Here is a 23993-nt window from a genome sequence, read left to right on the forward strand (position 1 = left end):
CACCCCACCCTTGAAGAATGAGTGGCCGGAGAAGTGATGATTGGCGTGCTTAAAACCCAATCATAAACGGAGGAGGGGGGATGGTCTAGCGGGGGCGCGTTAATGGGTACCTCTGCCAGTCCCAGACACATCCGGGTCTTCGACAGCCCATTAAGTGTCGGGGGTCAAAAAATCGCTTCAGGCTGCAACTTTACCTTAGAGACGTTTTGGTCCCCAGGCAGCCGCCGTACCCCAGTCTCTCCAAACCGGGATTCCCCTTTGGCCATCTCTCATTCTTTCAATTCTAAAGATGGAGACTGGCGAACGGCGATGGGGTCTGCGGTGGGCGGTGTTTCGTCGCGACAGACTCTAGGAAATTTCACGATAGAACTAGCTTTAGGCGCTTGAGCCTTGCCGTCTTTTTGGGGTGTGGCCTGTCTCCGTCTGCCAAAGGCTTTGAGCTTCCTGGTGTTCATCGTACCTCCGCTTGGTCCTGTCGTGACTAAACCACGACAGCAGGAAAAAAAAAAAAGCAGCTAGCCAAGTTGCTGAGGAATTACGGTGTGCAGAGCCCTCGCAGCTCCTTCTCTTGGGAACTCCTGGTCTGGTTAGGTTCTCAGCGAGGAAACAGCCTCCCACCCCGCCCGATTCCACCTAATTAACTCAAGGGCCAGCTCCTTTTGCTGGCCTCCCTGCTTCCACGGAGCAGTTAGGCCCGCCTAAACTCAGCGAGCGTTTCTGGAGCACCTTGAGGATAGGGACCAAGTAACAGAGTCCGGGTGTTAAGGTTATGATAGTAGTTAACGTTTTTGGAAAGAGACTGTGTCAGGCTCTGTGCTAAGAACTTTACATGAAGTATTTATTCCTCATGACTGTGAGGTAGGTACTGTTATCCCTACTTTACAAATGAGGAAAATTAGGATCAAAAAATTTGTCCAGTTACACGTTAAGTGGTAGAGCTGAAATTTGAACCCAAGTAGATGAGGAAACTAAGGCTCAGAGAGGTTAAGTAACTTGCCAAAGGTCAGACCGCTAGTTAGTGACTAAGCAGTGGTTTAAACCCAGAAACAACTGGTTCCACAGGCATTTTGTTATTGTTGTTTTCTCACTGTGTCTCCCAGGCTGGAGTGCAGTGGTACAATCTCAGTTCCTGCAACCTCCGCCTCCCAGGTTCAAACGATCCTCCTGCCTCAACAGCCTCCCGAGTAGCTGGGATTACAGGCGCGCGGCTAATTTTTGTGTTTTTAGTAGAGACGGGGTTTCGCCATGTTGGCCAGGCTGGTCTCGAACTCCTGACCTCAGGTGATCCTCCTGCCTCAGCCTCCCAAAGTGCTGGGATTACAGGTGTGTGAGCCACCACGCCAGCCTCCACAGGTATTTGAACATGTTTTTTAAATTATTTAAAAGTCATGCTGTGCAATGGAAATGAAATTATAATGGAGGACATGGCAACTTAAAGCCGTAGGTAGATCCTACACAAACACAGACGCACCCATTTTTTTTTTCTTTTTTTTCTTTGAGACAGTCTCCCTCTGTCGCCCAGGCTGGAGTGCAGTGGCGTGATCTCAGCTGCCTGCAATCTCCACCACCCAGGCTCAAGCCATCTTTCCACCTCAGCCTCCCAAGTAGCTGGCATTACAGGCGCACGTGACCACGCCCGGCTGATTTTTGTATTTTTGGTAAAGACAGGGTTTCACTATGTTTCCCAGGCTGGTCTCATAAATTCCTGGCCTCAAGTGATCCACCCGCCTTGGCGTCCCAAAGTGGTGGGATTACAGGCGTGAACAACCGCGCCCACCGCAGCCCCCACTTTATTTATTTTTTAAATTAGCGATGAGGTCTTGCTATGTTACCCAGGCTGCTCTGAAACTCCTGGGCTCAAGAGATCCTCCCGGCCGGGCGCGGTGGCTCAGGCCTGTAATCCCAGCACTTCGGGAGGCCGAGGCAGGTAGATCACGAGGTCAGGAGATCGAGACCATCCTGGCTAACACAGTGAAACCCCGTCTCTACTAAAAATACAAAAAAGTAGCCGGTCGTGGTGGCGGGCGCCTGTAGTCCCAGCTACTCGGGAGGCTGAGGCAGGAGAATGGCGTGAACCCGGGAGGTGGAGTTTGCAGTGAGCCAAGATCTTGCCACTGCATTCCAGCCTGGGCGACAGAGCGAGACTCTGTCTCAAAAAAAAAAAAAAAAAAGAGATCCTCCCACTTCAGCCTCCCAAATAGCTGGGACTACAGGTGTACATCACTGCAAGCAGCATTCAACTTTTTTTTTTTTTTTTTTTTTTTTGAGACAGAGTCTCCCTCTATTGCCCAGGCTAAAGTGCAGTGGCGCAATCTCGGCTCACTACAACCTCCGCCTCCTGGGTTCAAGCAATTCTCCTGCCTCAGCCTCCTGAGTAGCTGGGATTACAGGTGCCCGCCACCACACCCAGCTAAATTTTGTATTTTTAGTAGAGATGTTGGCCAGGCTGGTATCAAACTCCTGACCTCAAGTGATCTACCCGCTTTGGCCTCCCAAAGTGCTGGGATTTACAGGTGTGAGCCACCACGCCTGGCCTAATTCTTATTTTAAATAGATTAAAACTTGTTTTTATGCTAGTATGGTGTCCAGGTAAAGAATATGGTCTCAAGAGTCAGATTGCCTGAGTTTGGATCTTGGCTCTCCCTCTTACCAGTTGTGTGATTTGGCTGAAAGTTACTTATCTCTATTCTCTATCCCCTAGTTTCCCCATCTATAAAATGGGAATAAGAGTACCCAGCTCACCAGGTAATTATGAGAATTACAAAATAATACCTTCAAAATACTCAGGGCACTGTCAAGAATATAGTTAAAGCATTCAACATAATATATAGTAACTATTTTGAGAACTTTCCTTGCTTTTTCAACAATTTCACTCTCTTACCTCTAAATTCAGCTTCTGTTGGTATTCTACCCATGGTACTGGTCTTATACTGTACTGAAAATTATTTCTCTACTAACTGCAATATTTTAACGCTTTCAGACTCCTTTCAGTCATTGAACACACATGATAGAGCCCCTATTAGGTTATCAGGCACTCATCCATGTGCTCAGGATATAGCAGTGAATTAGACAAAGTCATTGCCCTCTTTGAGGGTACATTCATCTTTCCCTAACCTACTTCTTTGTCCATTATCAGTCCATTGCATTATTTGCTGTCTGAAATGCCACCCTTCAAGGGCTTTGAGGAGATATGAAAAACATGGTAGTATATACCAGCCCAAGGAAGATAAAAGTAAGACCCGAGAAAATACTTTTCAACAAGACCAAAATTTAGGCCATGGAGGGGGACTTTCAATCTGGAATGATCGAGCTTTAAGGAAGACAAGTACATGAGGTCAGTACTGTAGTGGACATGACCTGTGCCCAATGCAGGCTCTACCTGTTTGTTCCCTTTCTGAAGCTATGGATTATATAGTTAATCTTTAAATGACCCCCAATTTGCAGGTGAGGAAGAACTGAGGCACAGCAGTAAAGTAACTTGTATGACATCATAAAATTATTAAGTGGCAGGCACAATATTTTCCTCAATTTTTAAAAAAATTTATGGAGACAGATGGGGTTTTGTCATCATTTAGCCCAGGCTGATCTCGACTTCCTGAAGTCAAGCAGTGTGCCTGCCTCAGCCTCCCCAAGTGCTGGATTACGAGTGCTGGGATTACAGGCGTGAGCCCTCACATCCAGCCAAATTTTTTTTTTTTTTTTTTTTTTGAGACGGAGTCTCTCTCTCTCTCTCACCCAGGCTGGAGTGGAGTGGAGTGATCTCAGCTCACTGCAAACTCCACCTTCCAAGTTCAAGCGATTCTCATGCCTCAGCCTCCTGAGTAGCTGGGATTATAGGCCCCCGCCACCACACCCATCTAATTTTTTGTATATTTTTTTATTTTTTTGAGACGGAGTATCACTCTGTCACCCAGGCTGGAGTGCAATGGCGTAGTCTCAGCATAGTCTTGGCTCACTGCAACCTCTGCCTCCTGGGTTCAAGCGATTCTCCTGCCTCAGCACCCCAAGTAACTGGGATTACAGGCACGTGCCACCACACTTGGCTAATCTTTGTATTTTTAGTAGAGTTGAGGTTTCACTATGTTGGCCAGGCTGGTCTTGAACTCCTGACCTCATGATCCGCCTCCCTTGGCCTCCCCTGGGATTACAGGCGTGAGCCACCGTGCCCAGCCGTAATTTTTTGTATTTTGAATAGAGATGGGGTTTCACCATGTTGGCCAGGCTGGTCTCGAACTCCTGGCCTCAAGTAATCCACCCTCCTCGGCCTCCCAAAGTGCTGATACTACAGGAGTGAGCCACTGCACCTGGCCTCAGGCGACCTTTTTTTTTTTTTTTTGAGACGGAGTCTCACTGTCACCCAAGTTGGAGTGCAATGGTGCAATCTCGGCTCACTGCAACCTCTGCCTCTGGGGTTCAAGCGATTCTCCTGCCTCAGCCTCCCAATTAGCTGGGACTACAGGCGGGTGCCACCACGCCCAGCTAATTTTTGTGTGTGTGTGTGTGTGTGTGTGTGTGTGTGTGTGTGTGTGTGTGTGTGTTTAGGAGAGACGGGGTTTCACTGTGTCAGCCAGGTTGGTCTCGATCTCCTGACCTCGTGATCTGCCCACCTCGGCCTCCCAAAGTGCTGGGATTACAGGCGTGAGCCACCGCGCCCAGCCCAAATTTTTTATACTTGAGCCTATACACTCCAAAGCCTGGGAAGAGAAAATGGGCCAGATAACTTGGGCATATCCTTCCTCTCATACAGCTCCCTAGGCCATAGGACACACAGATGTGTCAGATATCATGTTGAATACTTTGCTATTAAAATTCCCAGATTTTTGTTTTTTTTTTTTCTAAGACAGGGTCTCGCTCTGTCACCCAGGCTAGAGTGCAGTGGCATGATCTTGGCTCATGGCAACCTCCACTTCCTGGGTTCAAGCAAGCCTCAGCCTCCCGAGTAGCTGGGATTACAGGCATAAGCCACCATGCCCGGCTAATTTTTGTATTTTTAGTAGAGATGGGGTTTCGCCATGTTGGCCAGGCTGATCTCAAATTCCTGGCCTGAAGTGATCTGCCCGCCTTGGCCCCCAAAGTGTTGGGATTACAGGTGTTAACCACTGTGCCCAGCCTAGATATTCTTATGGTTAAAGAATTCTGTAGTTCTTCCATCTGACTGCAAGTCTGTAGGAGGCCCAAAAGTGAGAAGCATAAGCTGGGAGAGAGAGTTCATTATTGTTATTGTTTGTGAACAAAGGGGCCCTCCAGACCAGTAAGACTGTATGCTCCATTATGGTAGGGACTGAGCCCTGAAATTCTCTCTATAGTTCAGTGCAGTGCTGAGCTCACTACACTCAACAGAAACTTCATTTTAAAAGGCCAGGTCCTCCCTTGAAAAGGTCTTTGGGGGATGAAACAGGAAGAGGTTTATTCTGGGGACTGCAGTCTGATGAGAAACTGGGGTGGCGTGAGAATTTCCCTCTGAAGAAAGCATCTCCTAGTAAGACAAATAAATGGCATTTCCTGAGCCCCTTGGTTCTCTTCTGTGCAGCTCCTCTAGGACACTGAAAAAGCATCCTAACATGCTCAAGACAGGATAGGAAATGGTCCTCTGGCTTGAAAGACTCAGCATCCAGAAGTAGTACCTCACTCTCCATCCAGTGGTCACCCCCCAGAAATGTGCTCTCGTAAGTTATTTCCTCCATTGATACGCCTGCTCTCCTTCCCCAAGGCATTTGTTTTATTGGCTAATTCCCTTTGGTAATTGGTTTGCCGCTCTTTTAGGAGTCATTTCCTGTGTTTATTTCATTATACAAGAAAAAAAAAAAGCTCTTAAGTGGACCAAAGGGATAAGGAAAATGATGCATGTTTTCCTGATGTCCACATGCAGCAAGTCCCTTAATCTTTGCCCCTGCCTTCCTGGTGCTGTTGCCAGGCTGAGACCCTGGTTGGAGGAATAGTGCCTGCAGCTACAGCAACTCAGGCAGCCTAGGATGACTGCCAGGATGCATGAGGGCTGCCAATACCAACTACTGGGGAGATGATTGTCATCCCTGTGGAGGTACTGGAGAAGGTTGGTGGGGGAAGGTGGAAGAGAGGAAATAAGGCAGAGATGAGCTCAGGGTCCCCAGAGAATGGAGCCTTTGTGTGGGGTATAGATGAGGGACAAGGGGGTGATTGTGTGGGAGGGCCGGAAGTGCCACACGGACTGGCACCACCATAGCCAGCACCAGATTCACCCTTCTCCTGCTCTGAGAACTCCCTGTGCCTCAAGGAGCCGGTACCAGACATGGTCAGGGGACGCAGGGTATGCCTGAACACTATAAAGGATGGGAAGGTAGAAAAGCAGATGTATAGCCTGGGGAAAATGAAAGGTATCCCCGCATTACCCCAGACCCAGGGAACAGGAGGCCGAAGGAAAAAGACAGAAGCAGCTTTTACTATATTTACATCCAACAAAACTTCGCAGGGAACAATCCTTATTGCACAGGTCAGGACCTGGGTGGGTGAGGCATTCCCCAAGGCGGGGCAGGCAAGAAAAATTAGGACTGGAGGGGGCACCAGTTCTTCCTAAGGGGAGCTTGAGACTCCTCTAGCTCCCAGTGCCTGACTTTGAAGGAACTACAAACCACCGGACCATGGTGCCCTATTTCCCTTCCCTTTCTCACTCTCCATAAGAACCTCATAAGCAAGGGGGCTGTGGCTCCAGAATAAATAATTTAAAATAAAATACAAACACTTAGGTAGAAAGGCATGGAGAGCCTTGGGCTCCTTCAGCAACGTCAGGGAAGAGGGACCATTATTGGTGGAGAATGACATCCCTACCTCCCATTCAGGGCAAAGGCTCAGTAGCTCTGCATCTTTCCAGTTGTTTTTTAAAACAAAAACTTCTAAAATGACCAGGGCAATGCAGATCTGTGGGTACCCTGGAGGGGAGTTCCCGGTATAGGACAAGGGAAGAACAGAGCTGTACCAACTCCCCCCAGATCTCCCCCAACATCAGCACGAACAAACTGGGTAGGTTGGTGATGGGGGAATCAGGACTTTTGGTAACAGTGGATCCCTCTTCCTGTTGTCCTCGCTTGGAGCCTTTGACTGGGCATCCTTCCCAGCCTGTTCCCAACTCCATGAAGGCAACAGGGAAGCAGTTTAACTCTAGAATCCCTTCTTCCTCACTTCCCCACCCTAGGCTGGAGAGGGAAGCTTAAGGTCTCTAGCATTCTGGAGGTGCTCCAAAACATTTTCGGCAGTCAATGGCCTTGGGAGTGGGCATCTGCGCCCGCCGGTGCCTCAGCTCCTCCTTGCCCATGCTGCTGGCCAGCTTGTTAAAGGCAGACTTGTACTTCTTATCGAAGGCCACTAGGGAAGAAGGTGGAAGTCAACATGTTAGGACCGCAGCCTCCCACACCTGGCCCCAGATCCCTAAACTCCTCAGCCCCTTGCCTGCAATCTCACCTATGTCCACGTGGTCCTTGCCCAGAGCAGCCATTGTCAGGAATAATATCTCACGGTAGATTCCCCTTTAGTGGAGGCAGAAGTGTATGAGTGAGAGAAAAGGGGTGTGGAGCCCCGGACAGACCAGGGATCACCCAGATGGTAGCACCATACCTCTGCAGGTGCAGGCCAGTGGGTGGGGGCCCTAGAGTTTCCAGCAGGAGCCCCACAGCCTTGTGCACTTCATTGAGTCCAACATGGCGCAGCACTGACTCCAACAGTGCCAAACTAAGGGATGCAGGTACAGGGCCTGGCCATACCACCCGCTGGGGGATCTGGCCTGGATGAAAGGAAAGAAGGCCACCAGAATCACTGAGCCCTCTGGGTATGGGACCCACCCTCCCCACCCAGGCCAAATACCAGACTCACTGTGGACCCTCCAGAGCACATAGAGAGGTGGGCAGCTATTGGGGTCAGGGGTCAGTACATCCCACAGCAGCCGTACCTGAACAGAGGCTGGATCAGGGGTTAGCCAAGGAGATGGGGCCTGGGGGAGCCAAGATAGTGGAGACAGTTAGGCTCAACGAATGGGAGGCAGAGGACAAGAAACGGACAGGTGATGCCAAAGAGACAGAGGGCCATTACAGGACACAGCCAAAGAGAAGTGGGAAAGGAATTCTTATCCCCCACAAGAATGTAAGCTCTTGAGAGCAGGGACTGTTTTGTAATCTGCTACATACCTAGTGCCTAAAACCGTGCCTGGAACATAAAAAGCACTCAATACTGGTGGAACGAATAGACAAATATGAATGAATCATTTGTTTAGGTACCAGGCTCTGCACAAGGTTGTCCACACACCAGCCCAGTGAGATAGGTGCTTATGCCATTTTACAGATGACCAAATTGAGGCTCAGAGTGGTAAAGTGAAACGGCAAGGATCCGAACCAGGTGCAGCAGACTCCAAAGTCTATGCTCTTTCTTTTTTTTTTTTTTTTTTTGAGACAGAGTCTCGCTCTGTCGTCCAGGCTGGAGTGCAGTGGCGCGATCTCAGCTCACTGCAAGCTTCGCCTCCTGGGTTCACGCCATTCTCCTGCCTCAGCCTCCCGAGTAGCTGGGACTACAGGCGCCCGCCACCATGCCCGGCAAATTTTTTGTATTTTTAGTAACACGGGGTTTCACCGTGTTAGCCACGATGGTCTCGATCTCCTGACCTCATGATCTGCCCACCTTGGCCTCCCAAAATGCTGGGATTACAGGCGTGAGCCACCACACCCAGCCAGTCTATGCTCTTTTTTTTTTTCTTGAGACGGAGTTTTGCTCTTGTTGCTCAGGCTGGAGGGCAATGGCGCGATCTCGGCTCACCACAACCTCCGCCTCCCAGGTTCAAGCAATTCTCCCACCTCAGCCTCCCGAGTAGCTGGGATTACAGGCATGCACCACCAAGCCTGGCTAATTTTTTTTGTATTTTTAGTAGAGACAGGGTTTCTCCCAGTTGGTCAGGCTGGTCTCGAACTCCTGACCTCAGGTGATTCGCCCACCTCGGCCTCCCAAAGTGCTGGGATTACAGGCATGAGCCACCGTGCCTGGCCAGTCTATGCTCTTTCTACAGTGCCAAGGACACAGTGGACAAATGGCTGAGAGATGAGGGAGGCACTTAGGAAACAGGGGCCACATGGGGGCACTGACCTGGGAGTGCGAAGGCCCATCACAGGAGGCCAGCACCAGGCCTGGTAGAATACTGGGCAGGCGTAGCCGTTGGAAATACCACAAAAGGTTCCAGAAGATGATGGGGTGGGCAGAGGGCAGTTCAGGCAACGCCAGCACCTCACTGCCCTCGTTCTCTACCAGCGACTCCAGCTCCTTACGCAGCACCAGGGGGCTCAGGTATGCCCATGCCCCACTCTCAACCCGCCGGGAGGCTCCCTATCAGGCACAAAGGGGGAGGGCAGTAGAGGGCATGTACATCCCCAGAGCCTTGCCTCCCACTGAGCCACCACATCCAACAGCTTTTGGGATGCCCCTTGCCCTCAAGGGCAAGAGATGTGCCCATCTCTCCCTGGCACCCCACAGGCCCCACACAGGGCAACATTCCCGTTCCTCATGCCCCTTTGGCCCAGCCCTTACCCCCATGTGCCCGTTGCAGAGCTGGGGCTCATCCAGAGCAAGGCAGAGCCTTCGGTCACTGAGCACAGGGCCAGGACCACCAGGGACAGGAGCATCTTTGCTGCCACTGGCACCAGCAGATTTGGGGCTGGGGACACTGCAGGGGGATAGCAGCAGGGGTCAGCTTTTGGACCTTCACCTCCCTATTCCCACCCACAGCACTTGCCCTGCCTTGGGCACCTGGGCCGGGAATCAAGGGTCTGGACACTGAGCAGGGGCACAAAGGGGCAGGCGCAGAAGGGGCAGGTTGTGTTGAGGTTAGAGTCATCAGGTGCCCAGCCAGCCATGATTTCCTCATCATACACCAGCGAATCACAGGCACGGCACAGGGAGCAGCTGGACAGCAGAATCTGTGGGCAGGGAGAGTCGGGAAGTAGGTGCTGTCTGGCCGCCAGCACTCTGGAGCCCATGCCCCTTCCCCAGCCCCTCCCACCTCCTCCCCATCTCCTGCCTTGGACAGGGTGAGTGTGTGCTATGTGTGTTCAAGCACATCTGTGTGGGAGGGGTTATCCTCACTTCCAGGGAAGGTGACTGGAAGGATCCAGGGGTGTCACTGAGGCGCTCTGAGGAACGGCGAAGACTCAGGTTGCTGAGAGAAGATTCTGAGAGGTCCCACTCACTGCCCAGAGAGGCTGAGCTCTACCATGACATGAGAAACCATGGTCAGCCAACCCCATGCTCTTCCACCCAGGATATGTGTTTCAAGCACCCCTCAGAGCCCCCTTTTTGAGCATTCTTCCAGTCGTAGCCCCTCCCCAAGCCCACTAATGCTAAGGCATCTGGACCCTCCTTCACTGGCTACCTCGGAGGCAGTGGATCCAGGGCGCTCCCGGGGGTGCAGAAGACTGTCCATGGGGCTGCGGCGGGCTGGGGGTGGCAGGTCAGGAGGCAGCTCAGGTGGGGGAATGCGGGAGGCAGGGGAGTGGCGGGAAGGAGTGAGCAGCTGTTGGAGGCGGGCACCCAGCCCTCGTCGGGGGGTGCCTGCCTCATCCTGTCGCCCACCAGCCTTGGGTCCCCGCCCACTTAGCCCTTCCAGGGCCTCAGTGGACTGGGCACTCAGGGCTGAGCCTGAGCCCCCTGGGCTGCCTCCAGGGAGCGGCTCCTCCCCTGTCAGGCTCAGGTCTGAGAGACTTCCATCGTGCCAGGGCACAGGTGATCCCCGGGGTTCCAGGACCCCCAAGGCCTCTATCACTGCAGCACAGAAAAGAATGAGGGAAGATGGACCCCAGCCTCTGCACCAACTTCCCCTTTCCTGAATAAACACAATTCCTGGCTGCACAAACTCTGGTGCCACCACCCCCACCATGATGATATTCTGGGCGAGATTCCCTCAGAATCTACAGCACCCACCACAGAGGGCCGCCCTCCACTCTGTTTCTGGTCTTCCCCACCTCACTAGCAAGTGGTTAGGAAAGCTGACTGGGGGAGTGAGGGAGCCAGACAAGGGCACTCACTGTGGGCCACACCGGCCTCCACAGTGGGCTGTGCCCCTCGGGCACTGCCCAGGCTACCACTCTTCACCAGGCGTCCAGGGGGTGAGGCTGGGTCTCTCAGACTTCGCCCAGCCCAAGTAGTCTGGCGCTGAAGAGGGCGAGTAGGGGAAGGGCGCTCCAAATAGGGCTCTGTAAAAGACGAGAAGGGGTTTAGAGGCGGCCAGCTAGGAACCCAGTCCCCTGTTCCAAAATAGAGCTCCTTAGATGGACCAGGGTTTGCAGGGTTCCTCCCAGGCAAAACTTTATCCGTTTTGTGTTTGTTTGTTTGTTTGTTTTGTTTTGTTTTTTGAGATGGAGTCTTGCTCTGTAGCTAGGTGGAGTGCAGTGGCGCCATCTCAGCTCACTGCAACCTCTGCCTCCTGGGTTCAAGTGATTCTCCTGCCTCAGTCTCCCAAGTAGCTGGGACTACAGGTGCGCGCCACCACGCCCAGCTAATTTTTTTATCCCTTTTGTTACCAGTCAAGTGTAATTTATCAATCCCCAGAAACCCAATGCCAACCATTAGACCAGCCCCAACTCTCTATGCCTTTCCCTGCCTGAGCCCAGCTACTCCATCCCCAAGCCTGTCTCACCAGGCCCTACCCACCTGCCTGGGAGCTGCCTGCCTCTTGATGTGCTGACACCTGCTCCTGCTGCTGCTGCTGCTGCTGCTGCTGTTGCTGCTGCTGCTGCTGTTGCCGTTCTCTCAAGGGCTGGCGGAACTGAGCAGCCCCCAGGACAACATTCCGGAGCTTGGCCCAGCGCAGACGCCCACCTGGTGTGCCAGACGGCCACTTGCTTTCCAACACAGCCTACCAAGCACAGTGCCCATCAGGATGGCCTACCTCGACACCCTAACCCTGCCTCATACCCACTCCCTGTCTTGGAGCCCCAGGGACCGCCCTTCCCCTGCAGACATCCTGTCTAGGACTGTCCGGCCAATGGCTCAGCCAGGAACAAGAGCCCAGAAGAGACAGTAGGCAGCAGCTGCCTCCCAAGGGGCCTAGAAGAACCCAGAGGCAGTGGAGAAAATTTGTACCCAGACCTTGCTGCTTAGAAATATAAAATATATGGCTCTGAAGAAATCATTTCATTTATTTGGTCATTAGTCTCCTCATCTAAAAAACAGGAGGCAGTTTAGTATCATGGCTAAGGGCCTGAATTCGGGAGATATGGATATGCCTCTGCCCATATTCTTTTTTCTTTTTTTTCGAGACGGAGTCTTGCTCTGTCGCCCAGGCTGGAGCGCAGTGGCGCAATCTTGGCTCACTGCAACCTCTGCCTCCCGGGTTCAAGTGATTCTCTTGCCTCAGCCTCCCAAGTAGCTGGGACTACAGGCACCCACCACCACACCAAGCTAATTTCTGTATTTTTAATAGAGACAGGGTTTCACCATGTTGGCCAGGCTGGTCTCGAACTCCTGATCTCAGGTGATCTGCCTGCCTCAGCCTCCCAAAGTGCTGAGATTACAGGCATGAGCCACTGCACCCAGCCCTGTGCCCATATTCTCACTCCTTAACTTCTTTGCTGCGGGACCTTGGACGAGTTACTAACTCTCTACAACCTCATCTCCTCTTCTATAAGATGGGGATAATGATCATCCCACCTCATAGGGCTGTCGTGAAGATAAAATGATGTAAAATGTGTGATGCGTATGGACCCGTGCCTGGCTTAGCGGCTGACACTATTAGTTGTAGGCAGGGCTGTCATGAGTGGGAATCAAAGCAGCCTCGTCTGAGAAACTGTAGGTGCTAAGGCACCACAGGAGTGCAATGTGGATGACAGTGGTTCCAGGACCTAGGCAAACAGTACCAGCCCAATCTCCAAGGAGCGAGGGGAGCAGCAGCAGCCTCCCCTCACACACCCTGGCACAGCTGCCATCCCACCCCTCACCCCAAAGTAGGTACCTTATTGTAGTAGCCATAGGTGATGGTGTTGGGCACAATGCCTGCCTGACGCATCTCCAGCATGACCCGCACAGACAGCACAGGCTGCCCATAGTGTGAGCAGAGCTGCATCAGTACCCGGTAACACACCTGGGCCAGGAGAGGCACAGGACAATGGGAGACTCACTCTCAACCAAAACCAAAGTCTCAGCAAGCACCCTCTTCCTGCCTCCCCAATTCTCACAGACATCACTGGCCCCTGGCAGGTCCTGGGGCTACCTCAGAGCCACCCACCCTTTCTGCTGACCCTGCCACCCTACAGTCTTCACTGCTAAACCCTGAACATGCTTATTCACTCGACGAATGTTTATAGATAATCTGCCCAGCTCTGGGGCTCTGCAACTTCTTTCCTTAGTCTCCACCAAGTTTCCCTCTCACAGCCCTCTCCAGCTGCACAAGGCTCACTGGGCCTGGGTATGAGCATGGTCACATAGATTGCCTACCTCATCAGGGAGCACCACCTTGCCGCTCTCCATCTGGCGCAGCACATGGTAGGCTGTGTGCAGTGCCTGCACTCGGGAGGGTGCCGACCGCACATAGGCAGGCAGACACAGGAACCACAGCCCATAGCAGTGCCCCAGCAGGCACCGGGCCCACAGCTCAGGCACAGCTGCTGACTTCTGTGCCATCCGCTGTGCAACTTTCATCTCCTAGGTAGGACAGGGGACACATCAGGGTGAGTACAATGCCAGGTCTTTCTTACTTATCTATTTATTTATTTATTTATGACGGTCTCGCTCTGTCACCCAGGCTGGAGTGCAGTGGCGCAATCTTGGCTCACTGCAGACTCGGCCTCCTGGGCTCAAGCGATTCTCCCACCTCAGTCTCAAGTAGCTGGGACGCACCACCAAGCCCGACTGATTGTTTTGTACTTTTTGTAAAGACAAGGTTTTGCCACATTGCCCAGGCTAGTCACAAACTCCTGGGCGCAAGTGATCTGCCTGCCTCAGCCTCCCAAAATGCTGGGATTAAAGGCATGAGCCACCAGGACAGACCCTAAAGTGGTGTGGGAAGAAGTAGCACCTTCTCTGAGGAAGGGTCTGTGCTCTAAGGAGGAGAAGGGATGCTGTACTTCACAGGCTGCAGCCCTGCCTGGAGCCCCGTGCAGAGAGGCTGGCCCTTGAGCATGGGCAGGTGCCCTAGAAGACATGGCCAGCCCCTGGATTCCCAGAGTGCTCAGAAGACGGAGGTGATGATGATGATGATAATGACAGTGATAATAGCAACTAATGTTTATACAGGGTTGCTTATGTGCCAAGCACATTTAAACTCCTAACAACCTCATGGGTTAAGTATTATTGTTATACCCATTTTGTAGATGAGGAAACTGAAGCAGCAGCAGCCTTCAGCCTGATCCGGGTCCCTCAGTGCGGTCCACCCACTGCTTACCTGTTTGGTACGGCGAGGAGCAGGACTGCTGGGGGCGCTACGGGAAGGGCCTGGCACAGGCAGGGCCCCAGGTTGCTCTTGAAGAGACTCAAACAACTCAGCCCGTAGCTCTGGGAATCCATCATAGCTGGAGGGGCAGAGAGAAGCAACATCGGGGCAGTCAGCACAGGGCGAAGCGAGTTGGACTGGACCAGTCTATGGGACCCTGGAACATGTGAAGGCTAAGAGACTCTCACCAGTACTGGGGAGTGGATTCACTGCCCTCTGGTAAGGCAGGCTCCTCGGGAGGTGTGATAAAGACAGTGAGCTCACTTCCTGACAGCTCCTCTAGCTCCACTAAGGGTGTCGGCTCAGGCTTCTCCTGCTCTGGGTGGACCTGGAGAAGGATTTTAAGAGAGCAAGTGTTGAGATGGTGGGCATGGAGCAGAGCCAGGGTGTCTAGACGATGGCATCTCCCAGGAAAGCTCATCCACAAGGAAAGAGACACAGCCTGGGAAGATGGCGTCAGGAACGGGAGGACAGTACATTACATGTACGGGGCCAGCTGTGTGTGGCTGCACAGGTTGTGCACTGTATAACTCCAGAAGTGCCATCCCAGTCACAGTTAAGATATAGAGTTGTGTTTACAATGGCCCTGGGGGCCAGACACAGTGGCTCACGCCTGTAATCCCAGCACTTTGGGAGGCCGAGGTGGGCGGATTACTTGAGGCCAGGAGTTCGAGACCAGCCTGGCCAACATGGTGAAACCCTGTCTCTAGTAAAAATACAAAAATTAGCCAGGCATATTGGTGCACACCTGTAATCCCAGCTACTCAGGAGACTGAGGCAGGAGAATCACTTGAACCTGGGAGGTGGAGGTTGCAGTGAGCCGATATCGCGCCACTGCACTCCAGCCTGGGAGACAGAGCAAAACTATCTCAAAAAAAAAAAAAAAGCCAGGCGCGGTGGCTAACGCTTGTAATCCCAGCACCTTGGGAGGCCGAGGCAGGTGGATCATGAGGTCAGGAGATCAAGACCATCCTGGCTAACACAGTGAAACCCCGTCTCTACTAAAAATACAAAAAATTAGCCAGGCGTGGTGGCGGGCGCCTGTAGTCTCAGCTACTTAGGAGGCTGAGGCAGGAGAATGGCGTGAACCCGGGAGGCAGAGCTTGTAGTGAGCTGAGATCACGCCCCTGCACTCCAGCCTGGGCGACAGAGCAAGACTTCGTTTCAAAAAAAAAAAATGAAAAATAAGAAAACTTAAAAAAATATTAAAAATTAAAATAAATAAATAAATAAAATAAAATGGCCCTGGGGTCTACAGCCATACCACCCTGAACATGCCCGATTCCGTCTAAAATGGCCTTGGGGCAACAGAGACAATGAGGGAGACAGCAGAGGCCAATGAGCACATAGAGAAGGGATGATACCTTTTCAACACAAGAGTCAAAGAATTCAAGGGCAGCATGGCGAGCAGAGCCAAAAGAGCACTCCTCAATGAACTGTGAGAACATCTGTGTGTGCAGCAGCTGAGAGTAAAGTTTGTGGCTGGAGCGTTCCCGGGATTTGAGGAAGCCTGAGGGGTATGAGAATGGGGCAGAGGAGGGGTGTGACCAGGGCTCTCCACCACAGCCATAGCTTTTTTGAATCTCTTCTTGGCTCCCTGCCCACTCAGGCCCAAAGCCATAATCTCTTGGACCCTCTGGCACAACTACCCTAATACCAGGCTGACCAGCTCAGCACCCCCAGCACAATGGCCCTAGAGAATCCCTCCCTTTGTCTGCCTGTACCCACTGCCTCAGACTGGGGGGGGTCTCCAAGGGCAGGGTCCCTGCACAGAGCTTTGCCCGTGGGGGCTGCTCACTACAGGGATTACTGTGGCTACCCCAAGCCTGGGGCTCCAGAGGGCAGGACCACAGCTGGTTTCATCTTTGTACCCTGATTCCCCCCCAAGACCAGAAGAGTTAAATGGCTCAAAGCGGGTGCCCATAAAAACATTTGCCTAGTGAAGGAATAAACAATGGAGTGGCTCCCAGTCCCCTCCGCCTTTCTGACAGAGCCCAGCCCCTCGCCACCTCCTCCCATGATACATCTCCAAGCAGAGACAGGCCCTCTATACCCTGCAGGAAGAAAAGGTTGTCAACATCACGAGCTCCCTCGGAGGGGGCCTGGGTGAGTGGGCGCAGGAAGACCCGGTAGCCCTTGAGCAGACAGGCCATGAAGCGGAGGAAGGCTCCTTGGACTTCGCGCTCCAGCCGGGCCCTGCGGCCACACACTGCCTCGTAGTCTGTCAGTAGGAACTCCAGGGATGCTTCCTCCTCAGGTCCAGTGTATGCTGGAGGCCAGGGCAGCCTAAGAGTCAGGGCTGGCTCCCATAGTGTTACCCTCAACTCTGCTCTCATGCCTCCATCTCCACCTCCAGCCTCTGGCAGACCTTGCACCAGTAGCAACTAAAGTATTACCTTCAACTAACAGGTTCAAGCTTGATATTTCCCACATGTTCAGGAATACTGTCTGCCCTTCCTTCTAGCTTCAGTTGGAATTGGAATCTCCCTCAGTTCCACCAAATGCAATCCTAACTTCACTCACCTCCTTAAGAAATGTCTAGCTCCCCACAGACCTCTGCAAACTGGAGGTTTGAGGGCAATGACAGTTCCCAGCCTCCCTCCCCACCCAGGCTTCTCACTCTGGTCCAGCTGCTGGTACAGGTTTGTCAGTGTGGCCAGCAGAACCTTGTAGGGTCTGCGGGGCAGGGTCCGAGGGGAGAGGAGCTTCTTTTCCTCAGTCCTGTGAGAAAAGCATAAGGGGAAAGAGTGGCGAGGCTCTGGGATAGGGTGACGGGGTTCCTTGCCAGCCTCCCTCACTTTGTGCCTGAAGCTCTTTTTGAGCCCGTAGCACTCCACACACTAGCCCATTCCTGCCCACCACCCTGCAGCCCCCAAATGAGACCCAGCCTCTTACTGGAAGAGCGTGTTGGTATCAAGGTCTACACAGATGACATCAGCAGGCGGGTCATGCAGATCAAAGTAGCTGGAGTGGATACCCACAATGAAGGGCACTGGGGCACTCAGCACATCTGCCAGCACCAGCGGGCACAGAGGAATGTAGGGGCACTGCCAGTGCAGTGGGAAGATCATCTGAAGCACCAGGCAGTGAGAACCAGTGAACAGGGGGTTGAGGCAGCAGTGGGAGGCACAGGAGAGAGAAAGAGAGGGCATTGGCCTTGGGGAGTTGGTGCCTGTTGAGAGAGGCTGTTGGAAGTAGGCTCTAGAGAAGAGCTCCTGATGGAAGCTATGTGTTCCTGCAGGCTGTGCCCAGGGAAAGGGGCTGAGGATCCTCCACAAGGAAGGAAAAGGGAAGAGTCCAGGCAGGGATAGGGGCACCAGAAAGAACCATGGTTCTGGGGAAGATGGGCCAGGCGGGGCGGCACTCACCGAGACGAGGGCCTCACAGACGCTGGTGAGCAGGTCTGGCCGCAGCGAGTGGACTAGCAGCTTGTGCTCTGTGAGCACAGCCAGCAGCAGTGTGATAGCCAGCTCAGGGCCCAGGCTCTGCAGCAGCTGCAGGAAGCTGGCACCACTGCAGGCAATGCCGAGGTGGGGAAAGGGTCACCAGGATACCCTGGGGACCCTTCCCCAGATGCCAGGCACAGCCACCACCTGGACCCAGCCTGCATAAACCTCAACAGCTGCACCCACCTGCCCAGCACCTACCATGTCCTTGGTCATTAAAGCTCCCCTCCCCACAATCTGATCACATACCTGAGGGGCAGGGGTGAGGATACAGGCTGACAGAGGAGCAAGTTGTCATAGGGAGACATCTGGAAGGGAAGAAGAGCCACGGCTCAGGGTAATGATGCCAACTCCCCTCCTTCCATCAGCCCGGCCCCAGCCTCAGCTCTCACCTGCACTAGGATGCGGGGTCTCTGTGGGGAAGGGAAGGGAACGTTGTGAATGAAGTGGGAGATGTGCCTGGGGGACAGAGAAACAGGTCAGAGCATACTCCCCCGTCCATCCCTGTCCTCCCTCCACATTTTCTCAGCTCTTTCACTTGTTCTCAAGAACCTTATTCCTTCCTGAACCCCACTTTGAGACCTGTTATCAGCCAACAGAACCTCCATTATGCATATAATTTGTGCAGATCAGAAAAGAAATCCTCCCTGGGCATACACAGCCCTTTGCCAGGACCTAACTAGTAAGTTTAGACTGGATTTCAGGCCCTGCTCCCCTCCTCAGCCCGTGGCGTTTTTACAGTGGATAAACTGTATAACCACACACTGCAGCCCTGTCCCTTACCCTGTGCCCAGCCCTCCCCCCACCCACATCTGAATCTCTCCCATCTCTCCTGGCCCCCTTATCCCTTCCTAACCCCTTCCCAATGGCAGAGGAGCCATGCTCACGCTTCCAAGGGTAGGCGGTGGGGGCCTGAGACGGAGTAGCGGTAAAGGAAGGTGAGGAAGGCGCGGAAGGCAGGGAAGGCAGGCCAGCGGGACAGCACAGCGATGGCACGCCGGCTGCGCACAGCTCTGCCCCCCAGTGCCCGACCCCGCTCCACGGCGCTCAGCAGGCCCAGTGCCCGTGCCTGTCGCTCTGATAGCCTGGCCCTTGGGAACGCCTCGTAGAACTGCAGGGCGGCACCATACACCTGGCAGGGGGCAGAAGGGTAGTCAGGCAGGCCCTGCATAGCCTGGACCCCTTGCCACACTCCACACACCCACCTTATCACCAGCTGCACCCGTGAGCACAAAGGTGGAGAAGACGGGCACGGGGTACTTGGTCTGGGCAGGCCAGCACTCGATAGTGGCCCCCATGGGCAGGCAGAAGACGGGCACTGACTCGGGCAGCGGGAACGCCTCATTGTCCTCCTCCGGGTAGCGGCCCAGCAGCTCTGCACCCCCAGCATAGTTGGGGGTACCCAAAAGGAGCAGGGTCCATCAGACTCCAAGGGAAATGAACCAAGGGATCCCAGAGAAGGCCCGAGTAGCAAAGAGAAAGTAAACTCTGGGGACACTTAAGGTGCCTGCCAAGAGGCACCAGGGCAAAGGGATGTAGGGTCACAGGATTGGAGGGATAAAGGGGCCACTCACCTGCCTCGTACACCAGCGTGTTGGCCTTCGCCAGGCCCACCTTATAGCACAGGTACACTGCTGGGCCCCACTACCCCAGAAATGGCAAGAGACAAGCAGATACATAGCTAACAAAGGTTTCTGGGGTCCACTTTCTCTCTACCACCCCTAAATGTTCTTTTGTCTTTAAAGCTCCCATTAATCCCAGTGCCCCAAGACCAGAGTTACCCCTCTGGACTCACCCCTGTGGTCAGAGCCTTGGTCCTGGGATGCCCTTTGTTCCCAGTGTCCACACCCACTCTTACACCAAGAGGACCAGGTGTCAGCTCTTGGCCCCACTCACCATGCCAGGGTTGAGGTTGCGGGGCAGCCGGCAGTAAGTATGAGGAGTGCCCTCGCCCTTACTGGGCAGCACCAGGCAGAGGTCAGTGATGCCCAGGGCATGCAGCCCTGCCCCCTCTGCTGCCCGCCGGTAAGTGAGGTAGGTGCGGGGGTGCCCGGGGCCTGGAGGGGCCAGGTTTGCTGAGTGGCTGTAGGGTGTCGTGTCAAGCACTTGGAAGCCAGGCTTGGGACGTTCCTTCCCCTCATACAACACCCTTGGCACAGAGAGCAAAGATAGATGTTGAGAGGTCAGGGTAGAGGACAAAGACCCAATCCTGCCAGATCTGCCTATCTAATCCCCTGAACTTGCCTTGTACCCACAGCCTTGTCAAACTCTAACACTAGGGCCCACCTCTTCTTGCTGAACTCTGCCCTCCAGAATCCTGTGCCCTTTCTTTGGCCTTTGGCCTTATTTCATGGTCAGCAACAATCCTGCATGCCTTCTATGGCTCTCATACTCATTAATAAACACTAAGGGTCAGCTGGGCACGGTGGCTCATGCCTATAATCCCAGCACTTTGGGAGGCCAAGGCAGGTGGATCACCTGAGGTCAGGGGTTCAGGACCAGCCTGGCCAACATGGTCAAACCCCATCTCTACTAAAAATTCAAAAATTAGCTGGACGTGGTGGCACATGCCTATAGTCTCAGCTACTCAGGAAGCTGAGGCAGGAGAATTGCCTGAACCCAGGAGGCGAAGGTTGCAGTGAGCCAAGATCACACCACTGCACTCCAGCCTGAGTGACAGAGAGAGACTCTGTCTATAAAAAAAAAAAAAAAAAAAAAAATAGTTATACAAGCTACCACTGACTGACTCTGTTAAGTCTGTCACATGGGTTATCTCATTTAATCTCGACCATCCTATGAGGATGAATTATTTTCCCCATTTGACAGATGAGGAAAACAGGCCCAGAGGAGCTCAAAAACCTGCCTAAGCTCTCAGAGCTAGCAAGGAGCAGCACTAGCACATGAAATCGCATCTGTAAGGACTAAGTACATACAACTTCAGTCCTTCCTTCCTGGCCCCTGGCCCACCAGGCTCCCATCCCCATTGCCCTTCCCTTGTTCCATAGTCCTACCTCTCCCTGTCTCACTGGAGTCCCTCCCAGCCTCCCCTGGTGCCAGCATGGGTAGGGGCACACACCCCAGCTCAACGAGGGGGGGCTTGTCACGGCCCCTGCGGTAGCAGATGACGGGTTGAGTTCCACCCAGAAGTCCAGCACTGAGTTCCAAGGGGTGGCCCCCAGCAGAAGCCTGGATGCATGTGTAGCCCTGGGGCACTTCCTCGCCCAGTGCCCTAGCGATGACTGCCACATCTGTGATGGGCTCAGCTGGCCGGGGAGGGCGCAGGGGCCCACTGGGTTCAGGAACCCACGTTTCCTCAGGGATGGGTGCTCCGTTCCCTGCAAGCCCAGCTACCACGAAGTAATCCACCAGCCGGGGGGGCCGCTCCTCCGCCATGGCCCCCCCCTCACTCACTGCATCTGGAATGGTCAAGTGGGAGAGAGATGAAGCAAGGAAGGCTGGGGATGCCATGGCAACCAGGGTACCCTCTTGCTCCCCTCCTCTTCCTAGTCCTTCCAAAGAAAGGCAGGATAAGGGGTCGGCCAATCCTGAACTCTTCCCCCTGTGACATCACTGCCCACCACAGCTTCTTAAAGAGACCAGATCCCTCCCACTTAATGGTCCTGGCACTCCCCTCAAAGAACCTAAACTCCACCACACACAGCTAACCTGAGCTATGACATTCACATTGTCCATGTGTCCCTTTTAAAGGCTCACCAGTTATAACATCACAGAGATCACAATCTTTTTTGTAATAGCCTTCCATGACATCATTCATGCTGGCCATGACATCATACCAACCTTACAGTCTTTTCAAGGGTTTCTGACCTTCCTACTCTAGTTATGACACCATAAGAACCTTGTGATCCTGCCAATGTTCTTAAAGAGCCCACTCCTAGGTTTTTAAGAGGACCCCATGGGTTTCTGAGAAAGCCCACAAAACCCAAGCTTTAAGAGTCTTTTCAACGAACCCAAGTGTCCTTTCTCCTAGCTTAACTCCACCAATCTGGCCCAAAATCCAGTGTTCTCACACCTCCAGGATCCTTAGGTAGCTCGTTAGATCCAAAGCAGTTGTGAGAGACAAGTCCCGGCCATCCCACACCCTCCACCATGGAGCCCAGAGACAGAAACAGGCCCACAACAGCCTAGTTCTCACCTGCCTCCATGGCCCAACCCCGGGGAGTAGGAGCCCCAAGGGTCCTGAGGCGCCCCAGGGTGCAGAAGCTGGGAAAAAGCCTGGTGGGTAGCTCGCAGCAGGGGCCCAGAAGCGTGGGGGGTGCTTCAGAGGGGAAGGGAGGTTACTTCCTGAAACAGTGGAGGGGAAGCTGCAACTCAGAGGAAGTCAGCCTATGGGTGTGTGTGGTGGCGGTGGCGGTGGTGGGGTTACCATTGAAGGTGCCAGCACAGCATTACGCCAAGTTGGAATCTCAGACTATAGGATCCTGAGCAAGGCAGAGGAGGCTCAGAATGGTTCCAGGATGTGCAGTCCTGCTAACCTCCTGCTGTTCCCCCAGAGAACAGGGAATAAGGAATCTCATAGAGCCAGGCTGGCTTTCTTCATCACCTGGCCTCTGGACACACACACACACACACACACGCACACACACACGCACACACGTACACACACCAACCCCAGCTAAATTTAGACTCCACTTCTGGGAGGTAAAGCCAGGAGTCAGCGTCAGCCTCTTGATTTAATTCTGGGGCACAGACCTGTCCCTCATCCACTGAGGGCGAATGGGAGCCCTATGCCCAAGGCAGCAGGCAGAGGCCATTAGGTGGGACCTTCTGAGGGGCAAGTGGGTGGCACCCATCCGCAGGACCTGCGCACCGGGGCCTCCCCTCACCAAGCCAGGGAAGAGTCCTGCAGAAAGCAGCCCTTTCTCCCTAGGGAAGACAACGGGCACAGGGCCCACTCCGGGTCCCCACGCCCGCGTGCCGGGTGACGGGAAGTTCGGGTTGGGGCAGAGGGCGCGCCGAGGGGGAGGAGGCTGAGGAAGGAGCAGGAGGGCAGAGAAGCAGGCGCGCCGGCGGCCGAGGACGTGACGGCAGCAGCGCCGGCCGCCGCGTGACCCAAGCGGGAGGGAGGGCGGCTCCGACTCCGGCACCCACGGGAGCAGAAGGGGGTGCAGGAGGCCGGGCACGGCGAGCTAATTGCGGGAGGTGCCCTCCCCTCCACTTTCACTTCCCCAGGAGAGAGGAACCGGAACCAGATGTGCAGTGAGGGACAGCAGCTGGGGGCCATCCCCCACCCCGCCTGCCGCCCGCGCTCCCTCCTGCCCGTCCCCGCCTGCCGCCCAGCCCGGTCCAGCCCCTACCTGCCTGTCCCGCGCTTCCCGGCCGGCCGGCCCGCTGGCGGGTGGCTCGGAGGGCGAGCTGGCGGGCCGGCGGGCGGCGGGGCTACCCGGCCCCAGACATGGCGCACCCGACTTGGGCGCCGCTCCCGCCCGGGCAGTGAGTGAAGGAAGAAGAGGCGGCCGAGGACCGCAGAGCGCGGGGCGCAGTGGAAGGAGATCCGGGCGGTCCCCGCGTCCCCGCCGCGCTGCGCCACGCGGGGACTGTGCTGCCGCGCTGCTCGCTCGGCCGGCTCGGTCCTCCCAGCTCCCGCGGCGCCGGGGACCCAGCGTTCCTCCGCGCGCCCCGCTTTCTCTACTCCCCCAACCCCCGCTCCGGGCCGCGGGCGCCGCCGCTACCCCCACCCCTCCTCCTCGGCCGGCGGCCGTGACCCTGGCAAGCGTCTGCCCAAAGCCCAGCCGCCTGCAGCCCGACCCCTGGCGGCTGGGAGGGCCCCCTGCACCCAGGTAGCTTCCCACCATCCAGCCCGTGCCTCAGGACACTGACCCCAGGCGACCCAGAGGGCCGCGGCGCGCTCCCTTCCCGCCTGGGTCCTGCAGTCAGATGTGGCAAGCATGATGTGGGCGCAGGTGAAGTCCCGAAGGTCTAGTCTACGGGGACCCAGGTGGCTCCCCCTACTTCCAGGTTTAGGGCACAGGGCATTCCCTTTGGACCAGAACCAGAAGCTCTCAGTTCTCTTTTTTGAAAATGACAAGAGCTTTGGAAAGAGGAAGAGAGGCCAGGACTGCAGGGTGTGGAATAGAGCAGTGGAGGTGGGGGTAAGG

General features: G+C 54.4%; 1 protein-coding gene and 1 long non-coding RNA gene across 21 annotated transcripts, besides 8 other annotated features; one reads left to right on the forward strand and one right to left on the reverse strand.

The window, feature by feature from the left end:
- Window positions 102–341: an enhancer, noted in NCBI's record as "active region_1755". NCBI's record gives its function as "activates an Ori minimal core promoter by ATAC-STARR-seq in GM12878 lymphoblastoid cells {active_cell/tissue: GM12878}" and the evidence as "EXISTENCE:reporter gene assay evidence [ECO:0000049][PMID:35858748]".
- Window positions 269–12136, forward strand: LOC101928059 (uncharacterized). Of its 4 annotated transcripts, none has more exons than XR_922160.3 (4): window positions 269–858; window positions 3137–3334; window positions 5531–5666; window positions 11632–12136. It is a non-coding gene; the product is annotated as an uncharacterized LOC101928059 (long non-coding RNA). The 4 variants fall into 4 exon arrangements; XR_007066631.1 differs by having other exon boundaries at window positions 11645–12136; XR_426846.5 differs by lacking the exon at window positions 3137–3334.
- Window positions 649–943: a silencer, noted in NCBI's record as "tiled region #4321; HepG2 Repressive non-DNase unmatched - State 1:Tss". NCBI's record gives its function as "represses a minimal TATA promoter and a strong SV40 promoter by Sharpr-MPRA in HepG2 cells {active_cell/tissue: HepG2}" and the evidence as "EXISTENCE:reporter gene assay evidence [ECO:0000049][PMID:27701403]".
- Window positions 2002–2175: a silencer, noted in NCBI's record as "fragment chr1:153897582-153897755 (GRCh37/hg19 assembly coordinates)". NCBI's record gives its function as "represses an EF-1alpha promoter that drives an FKBP-Casp9 reporter gene in an ReSE screen in K562 erythroleukemia cells {active_cell/tissue: K562}" and the evidence as "EXISTENCE:reporter gene assay evidence [ECO:0000049][PMID:32094911]".
- DENND4B (DENN domain containing 4B) lies at window positions 6397–23790 on the reverse strand. 17 transcript variants are annotated; one of them, XM_047435916.1, is made up of 28 exons: window positions 23716–23790; window positions 20954–21293; window positions 19774–20026; window positions 19452–19521; window positions 19083–19252; window positions 18765–19009; window positions 18270–18336; window positions 18127–18185; window positions 17800–17944; window positions 17327–17502; window positions 17052–17152; window positions 16485–16700; window positions 15796–15941; window positions 14620–14759; window positions 14384–14510; window positions 13438–13644; window positions 12956–13084; window positions 11656–11860; window positions 11031–11198; window positions 10379–10767; window positions 10093–10215; window positions 9757–9926; window positions 9538–9673; window positions 9100–9336; window positions 7843–7960; window positions 7588–7753; window positions 7435–7499; window positions 6397–7338 (listed from the first exon to the last, which is right to left on the reverse strand). In XM_047435916.1, the coding sequence occupies exons 1-28, from the start codon at window positions 23783–23785 to the stop codon at window positions 7193–7195; spliced, it is 4584 nt and encodes a 1527-aa protein (XP_047291872.1). In that variant the 5' UTR covers window positions 23786–23790; the 3' UTR covers window positions 6397–7192. The 17 variants fall into 17 exon arrangements, with proteins under 17 accessions (XP_047291872.1, NP_055671.2, NP_001354395.1 ...); NM_014856.3 differs by lacking the exon at window positions 23716–23790 and adding an exon at window positions 23197–23614; NM_001367466.1 differs by lacking the exon at window positions 23716–23790 and adding an exon at window positions 22031–22152.
- Window positions 21866–21965: an enhancer, noted in NCBI's record as "active region_1756". NCBI's record gives its function as "activates an Ori minimal core promoter by ATAC-STARR-seq in GM12878 lymphoblastoid cells {active_cell/tissue: GM12878}" and the evidence as "EXISTENCE:reporter gene assay evidence [ECO:0000049][PMID:35858748]".
- Window positions 22286–22335: an enhancer, noted in NCBI's record as "active region_1757". NCBI's record gives its function as "activates an Ori minimal core promoter by ATAC-STARR-seq in GM12878 lymphoblastoid cells {active_cell/tissue: GM12878}" and the evidence as "EXISTENCE:reporter gene assay evidence [ECO:0000049][PMID:35858748]".
- Window positions 22804–23304: an enhancer, noted in NCBI's record as "H3K27ac hESC enhancer chr1:153918384-153918884 (GRCh37/hg19 assembly coordinates)". NCBI's record gives its function as "activates a minimal SCP1, AML or CMV promoter by ChIP-STARR-seq in naive H9 embryonic stem cells {active_cell/tissue: H9 hESC(naive)}" and the evidence as "EXISTENCE:reporter gene assay evidence [ECO:0000049][PMID:30033119]".
- Window positions 22804–23725: a biological region, named in NCBI's record as "H3K27ac hESC enhancer GRCh37_chr1:153918384-153918884".
- Window positions 22826–23725: a silencer, noted in NCBI's record as "silent region_1346". NCBI's record gives its function as "represses an Ori minimal core promoter by ATAC-STARR-seq in GM12878 lymphoblastoid cells {active_cell/tissue: GM12878}" and the evidence as "EXISTENCE:reporter gene assay evidence [ECO:0000049][PMID:35858748]".

The sequence above is a fragment of the Homo sapiens genome, chromosome 1 (genome assembly GCF_000001405.40).
Source record: "Homo sapiens chromosome 1, GRCh38.p14 Primary Assembly".
Taxonomy (NCBI): Eukaryota; Metazoa; Chordata; class Mammalia; order Primates; family Hominidae; genus Homo; species Homo sapiens.

Bases quoted from the DNA above. Each gene is read 5' to 3' on its own strand.
- DENND4B (XM_047435912.1), bottom strand. From the start codon at position 23,785: ATGCTTGCCACATCTGACTGCAGGACCCAGGCGGGAAGGGAGCGCGCC. The intron at 19,522-19,773 runs GTGAGTGGGGCC...TTTCTGGGGTAG, and splicing joins GCAACCTCAACCCTGGCATG to TGGGGCCCAGCAGTGTACCT. The intron at 7,500-7,587 runs GTATGGTGCTAC...CCTCCACTAAAG, and splicing joins ACTGGCCTGCACCTGCAGAG to GGGAATCTACCGTGAGATAT.